General features: G+C 37.7%; 1 protein-coding gene across 4 annotated transcripts in view; it reads left to right on the top strand.

Moving 5' to 3' along the window:
* Window positions 1-2312: 2312 nt before the first annotated feature.
* CD200R1 (CD200 receptor 1) overlaps window positions 2313-7048 on the top strand; it is a 53899-nt gene continuing 49163 nt past the window's right edge. For all 4 annotated transcript variants that reach the window (NM_170780.3, NM_138806.4, NM_138940.3 and 1 more), the window contains exon 1: window positions 2313-2625. In NM_170780.3, coding sequence (NP_740750.1) covers window positions 2559-2625 — 67 coding nt within the window. In that variant the 5' untranslated portion in view covers window positions 2313-2558. The remainder of the gene's footprint in view (window positions 2626-7048) is intronic.

Below are 7048 nucleotides of genomic sequence, written 5' to 3'. Positions count from 1 at the left end.
TATTATACTGACTTTCATGGCATGTCTTTAGTGGATGATTATGTTAACAAACTTTTAGTCCCTTTATTGTTTTAAACATTCATGGTCCATAAAAGGTAGAAGGTGGGAGTTGAGAGGTTACAGGCATGTGATTTGGGGGTGGAGAGGATGAGGGACCAGGGAGAGAAACTGTCATCCTGCCAAATCTATTTAGTGAATTTTATGGTTTTTGATACCCATCACTTGATTCTTAAACTGCTGATTGCAGATTGTGGTCTGACCTCAGGTGAGTGCATTGGAGTGTGTCTATGAAAGTTGTTGCCTGAAATTTCAAAGTAGAGGAGTTGAGTGAAAAGAACACAGGGCTACGAAATATAACACATTTTATTCCCAGCCGTGCCAATAAGTTGTTTTGAGGCCACAGGCCATTTAGCCCTTCTGTGGTTTAGTTTTGGCTATGTCATTGAGCAGATATTAAAATAAATGATCTCCAAGAATTTTTGATGACATGAGAAAAAGCTAATGTCAATATAATATAAACAGATACAGACTTGAGTAAGAAACTTTCCCAGTATCACTGGACTAGTAATTGCACAACAGAGACTTAACCCTATGTCTATCTGTATCCTAAGCGAGTGTGAATTTTAACTTTAACTTCTCTCTGCTCACTGCAACCTCTGCCTCCTGGGTTCAAGCGATTCTCATGCCTCAGCCTCCCAAGTAGCTGGGACTACAGATGAGTGCCATCACACCTGGCTAATTTTTTTTTTTTTTTTTAAGTAGAGATGGAGTTTGGAGTTTTGTCATGTTGCCCAGGCTGGTCTCGAACTCCTGAGCTCAGGCAATCTGCCCGCCTCGGCCTCCCAGTGTCCTAAGATTACAGACATGAGCCACTACTCCCGGCCAACTTTCACTTCTATGTAGTGGAAAACCAGAATATTATCTGTATTTTAAATGATGTATTCTCACTAATTTTCCGACACCTGGTGAAACATTAGACAGAAGAGAAGACATTTTTGTTTTGGTCTTCCCATTGTCACAGCTCATACCCTTAAGTGTTCCATGCCCTCAAGGATCTGGTTTCACTGTCTTCATCAAATTAATTAACTGGAAAAAAAAGCTTGAGAAGGGGAAGGGGGGAAATATTTATAATGTTTGGCAAGAAGGAAGATGAAACTGCTAACTGAGAAAAAAAATGCATGCTGTTTAATCTTTTTCCTGTTTGCAATGTTTTCTTCCCCTTCCTGTACAGTTTTGCCTTGGGGCAGAAAATTCTCAGCACATAGAAGATTTTTCCCTCTCTCAGACATAACTTAAAAGCATAGTAACATAGTAACTAGCAACAGTAAGGAAGAGGTTTTTTTGTTGTTGTTGTTGTTTTTTTTTTTTGGTTAGGGGGAGTCTGAATTCCAGATGTGTGGCAACTAAGAGATGGGTGATTATTTGTAATTTGGTTAAAATGATCAGTCTAATTTTCCAAAGGTGAAACTGAATGGCAATAAGTACTGAGTTCTGATAAACAGAATGCCCTCACCCCCAACAAGGTAGATACCTATGTCCGAATTACCGAAACCTGTGAATGTTACCTTGTGTGGCAAAAAGGACTTTGCAGATGTGATTAAATTAAGATCTTGAAATTAGATCATGTTGGATTATTTGGGTGGACCAAAAATAATCACAAGGTCTTTATAAAAGGGAGGCATAAGGGTCACAGTCAGAGAAGATGTGACAGTGGACCAGAGGTCCGAATGATGTAGCTGCAAGCCAAGAAATGCAGGCATTCTCAAATCGCTGGAAAAGGCAGGGAGCAAATTCTGCCCGAGCCTCCAGATGGAGTGCAGCCCTTCCAACACCTTGATTTTAGTCCCCTAAGATCCATTTCAGACTTCTGATCACCAGAACTGTAAGATAATAAATGTTGTGTTGTGTTAAGCCACTGAGTTTGTGGTAATTTCTTACAGTAGCAATAGGAAACTAATACACATATGATGTTTACAGGGTTGTGTGTTGACTCCCATTATAGACAGGAATTTCACACAATAATTTTCAAGAAAACATATTGTATTCCAGACTCAAATACTAAGGCCGTAAAGCTCTTCAACCTGGAGAAAGCCTCTAAAAGTCATCATAATTGGGAAATTTACAAGGATGGGCCAAAGTAGATCAATATTCTGTTTTACTTTTTGGTGCAAGTTTAGACAAATCTGTTTATCTTGGACACGTTCAATGCCTTACTGTAAAGTTTGTCTGTGTACAGCAGAAGTGAGAGGAGAACCAATGAGCTGAGAGATAATTCAATCAATCTGCTTCCTCCGTCTTTGCTTCAGGGCTTCATACAGGAAATCTATTGCTGTGTCAAGTTCCAGAGAAAAGCTTCTGTTCGTCCAAGTTACTAACCAGGCTAAACCACATAGACGTGAAGGAAGGGGCTAGAAGGAAGGGAGTGCCCCACTGTTGATGGGGTAAGAGGATCCTGTACTGAGAAGTTGACCAGAGAGGGTCTCACCATGCGCACAGTTCCTTCTGTACCTGTGTGGAGGAAAAGTACTGAGTGAAGGGCAGAAAAAGAGAAAACAGAAATGCTCTGCCCTTGGAGAACTGCTAACCTAGGGCTACTGTTGATTTTGACTATCTTCTTAGTGGCCGGTAAGTTTGAATTCTCTTTGGGAGAACAGTGAGAAACCTGGTCTCAGCTCTTCCTGAGTTTATTTTTTGTCTTTCTTCTGGGGCAATACAAATCAATTGCAATAATAAATATAGGGGGTTGCTAAATATGGGTTACTCCCATATCTAGTTTACTTTATTATCCTTTTTTCCGGTGTCTTGCTTGTTGTACTTTGTATCCTACTACAATATACAGATCTCTATAATTTGTCTTACTGTCCATTTCCTTATTTCCTCCTGTTTTTTGAACAAGGCAGGATAAATCAAATACATACTAGCAGCAATCAAAGTCAGTTAGGTTCTCTTTATCTTATTCTCTTCCCCAACCCCCTTTTTTGAGACAGGGTCTTGCTCTGTTGCCCAGGCTGGAGTGCAGTGGTGCAATCGTAGCTCACTGCAGCCTGTAACTCCAGGTCTCAAGCAGTCCTCCCACTCAGCCTCCTGAGTGTCTAGGACTACAGATATGCGCCACTATGCTTGGCTAATTTTTAAAATTTTTGGTAGAGATAGAGTCTTGCTATATTGTCCATGCTGGTCTTGAGCTCCTGTCTTCAAGCAATTCTCCCACCTCAGACTCCCAAAGCATTGGGATTACAGGCATGAGCCACTGCACCCAGCCTCTTCTCTCTTAATTTTTTTTTTTAAGATAAGAACGCTAACTCATTTAGGTCCACATTGCCAGTGGCATAGATTAGGACAGTTTATTGCTTTCTGTCACTTTCGATGATTAGGCACTTCAAAAATATAATATGCCTACAGTTACAGTGGTGCGTCTGTGATGTATGTCTGTATTTATCTTCAAGATGTGTGGGCTGTAAGAGACACTACGAGTTAGAGAACAGACTCTTCAACATCTAGGTTCCTATAGAAGTTATAGAGAACTTGGGCCACTGTGGGGGTGTCCTGGTTTCACTGTAGAAGGTTGGTAGGAGTTGGTGTGGGAGGGAGTTTTCAGGTTTCACTTTTGGTAGACAGAGCAGCTGCAAGGGAAGAGTGTAGTTGGTTTTAAATGTTATAATTTGATAATTGAAAGAAGAAAAGGTATTTTTCCTCATTTCTGAATGACTTTAAAATGCTGCTTATCTTCCACAAAAAATCTTCTTTCCACATGTTAATCTTACTAGTGAACACATGCAAAATAACTACACTCTTTGACTGCACCTTTCTATTGAGAATTTTCACATGCTTTTTTCCCTTTGATCTGCACAGCAACCCAGTGAAGTAGACATGGAAGACACCTCTCCATTTTACAAAGGTAGAAATGGAGGCGTAGAGAGGTGAAATGATTTGGCCAAGGTTAGATATGACTAGTATGTGCCAGAATCACAATCAGTAATGATATACATCAGTAAGCACCACTAAACATTTGAGTGGGCAATTTTCCTCATTATTTAACCATTGTGCTTTTCACTGAAGAGCATCAGTGAAAAAAGTCAAGCCAATACTTAGTTTTAGCCTTAATAGACTGTTACTCACCTAAAAAGTCAAGTGATCTGAATCTTTCAGTAGTTCAGATCTTGTTGTAGAAAGCTCTTATAGCAACTTGTGTAGGACCCAGCTTGGCTGGGGCAGCCAGATAGGCAAGGAGCTGTTTATGTCAAATTGCACTGTTACTCCTGGGAAAAGGAAAAAAAATGATTAAAACATAATTTGTAATTTTCAATTTTAAAGGTTGAAAGGTTTAAATTTTAAAACTATTTCTGAACACAACTAGGAAAGACTACATATAGCAGATCTATGAAGTCTATGCTTATGTTATTGTAAAGTTATTAAATGTTTAAAATCAGGATTTAAAAAAGCATATTACTTTACATGTAGTGATTTGGTGTGATAGGTTAACCATGACATGATTTAGAATAATGAGAAGCATACCACTTGGGGAAATATGACTTTATGTCTTTATTGCTAAAACTGCTATGTTATTAATACTGCCAAACAGAAAGAACTCGCTTTGTACAAGGTAAATTCACAAAGGAACAAGGGAGCTAATGACTTAAATGTAAAACATAGTATTCATTTGGTTTCCCTATTTTCTTTTTGTCTACTTATTTGCTTATAACTTCAAGCAGCTTGGCAGTTAGTAAACAAGATTTATCCAGAAAAAACCTAAGGGGAAAAATAAAAACAACCTAAATTGTGTACATCAGAGCTATATTCCCAGCCTTGTACCTGGTCCCCTTCCCGGACACTCCCCGTACCCTGTGCCACTTCTTCCTCCTTTTTTTTAGCCCTATTGTCTTCTAGATTTTTGTGTGTGTGTTCAAATTATATTTTGGTGTTCCAATTAAAATTATTCCATCTTTTATAAAAGTTACTGATTTTGTGATTATGAGTTACTAAAAAGGAACCCTTCACTTCTTTCCTTCTTTGGGCTAATTTTTATTCATTTATTGTTGTCTTCCACTAGAGGACAGGCAGTAACAAGAAGAGGAGATAAAAATCAAGACAGGGCTCTAAGGTAGCTTTGGCAGATTTGCAAACAGTGGAAAAAGATTCAAAACAATTGTGCAAAAGAAGGGTTTTGTCCTTATTAATAACTTTAGTCCTATCTTCCTTTTCTAGTTTGCATATTTGTGAATTTACATGTTATAATAATTTATAGGTGTGTTTTTCTCTAAATGTTCATGCTTAAGCAATTAATAAATTAATTAAAAGTCCTTATTAATGTCTGTGTGTGTGTGTAGAATAGTGCCTAAAAGTTATTAGTAATCTAAATTAGAAAGACAAAGGTAAGATGAAACAATTGGTGAACATTTAAAATCAGTAAATCTTGAAATTGTATATGAAACTAGTACAAATCTAAAGGAGGGAGAAATTACAGTGGGTTGGAGTTGTGGAGGATTTTATGGAGATGGGTCTTGAGCTAGGCTTTGAATGACAGGTTTGGATAAATGGGGAAATGCAGAGAAAGGAATTGGAAGGATGGGATGTGTAGCATGTGCAAATGCAAGGTGCTTCAGAGAGAGAAAGAGCTGTAGCTTGCAGGAACAGAGGTTGTGTGTTAAATAATAGTAGGAAATAAGGCTGGATTTTGGGGGTCCTTAATAGCTAAATTAAAGAACCTGGGTATTAGTCAGTAGACAATGAGGAACCACCTGTTCTTTGGTGAACAGGAAAATTTATAATTAAGTAGGATTTTTTGGAGAATAATGTGGTAACAGTGTCCCATTGAGTGGCGGTGGCACTAGGTAAAATATTTATTTTGAAACATGAGTCAAGAGCTTCTGCCCTGGGGTTCTCATTTGAAAAAAGTTCTGTGATGCCGCTGAGGTATATATGTGACTGAGAAGGGAGTTTCGTTGTGGAGGAAGATATTAAATTCAGTATAGGAAGGGAGGACAAGTAGGAGGAAAATTCCTACAGATACTTGGAAATACAGTCAGCCCTCTGTATTGCATCCCTGGATTCAACCAACTTCAGTTGAAAATATAAAGGGAAAAAATAGATGATTTCATTAGTACTGAACATGTACAGATTTTGTTCTTGTCATTTCCTAAATAATTCAATATAATAGCTACTTATGTATTATTTACATTGTATTAGGTTTTATAGCAATCTAGAGATGATTGAAAGTATGTGAGAGATTGTACATAGGTTATATGAAATACTACACCATTTTATATTAGGGATTTGAGCATCCTTGAATTTTGCCATCTCTGGGGGTCTAGAACTAATCCCCCAAGGACACTGAGGGATGACTGTATAGAAAACTCTAGTGTTTGTGAATCATTCATGAAGTAGATGATCCATCCCACGAACAGAATAAACATATGGACAAAAACAATAGAATAAGCACTAGAGATATTTGGATTTGGGCTCTAAGAACCATACTTATCTCTTTCCAGTCTATAAAAGATAGGAAGATCTGAGAAGAGACAGGAAGGGAGCCAAAGTGGAGTATCAATTGAGTGCTTAACCTCATGTAGGAGGAGATACTCTTCTGAAATTGAGGATTAAGATGAGACATTAGATAGAGGGATGCTAGTAGCTTGAGGATGGCAATAAGGTAATGGGAACAAATGAGAGAGTTTACCGTAGATAAATTTCCTCCCAATAAGGTCATGAATATTTCAGTTAATGGCATTTAGTTAATAAAATGACCCAGTTGTTGTTTGATTTTATGTTGTGTCTGAAAAATTAACCATTTGTGTCTGAAAAACCATTTGTGTCTGAAAAATGTAGTAGCCATCAACATGTTTTTACCTCTTCTGCCTTATTATCACTCACATACATTTGTCAATTGCTGACTGGGATTTGGGAGCAGATCTGTGGTTATAAAATACCTTTGGACTATGTGATGCTAGTAGGCCCTAAGAATCAAGTCAACAATCATTACTTTTTAAATAATAATAATGGTAATAAATATCACTGATTTATATAATTCATATAATAGACACAGTCACAA

This window comes from Homo sapiens, chromosome 3, assembly GCF_000001405.40.
Source record: "Homo sapiens chromosome 3, GRCh38.p14 Primary Assembly".
Taxonomy (NCBI): Eukaryota; Metazoa; Chordata; class Mammalia; order Primates; family Hominidae; genus Homo; species Homo sapiens.
Note: the sequence above shows the minus strand (reverse complement) of the source record. Positions and strands in the feature narration are given on the sequence as shown.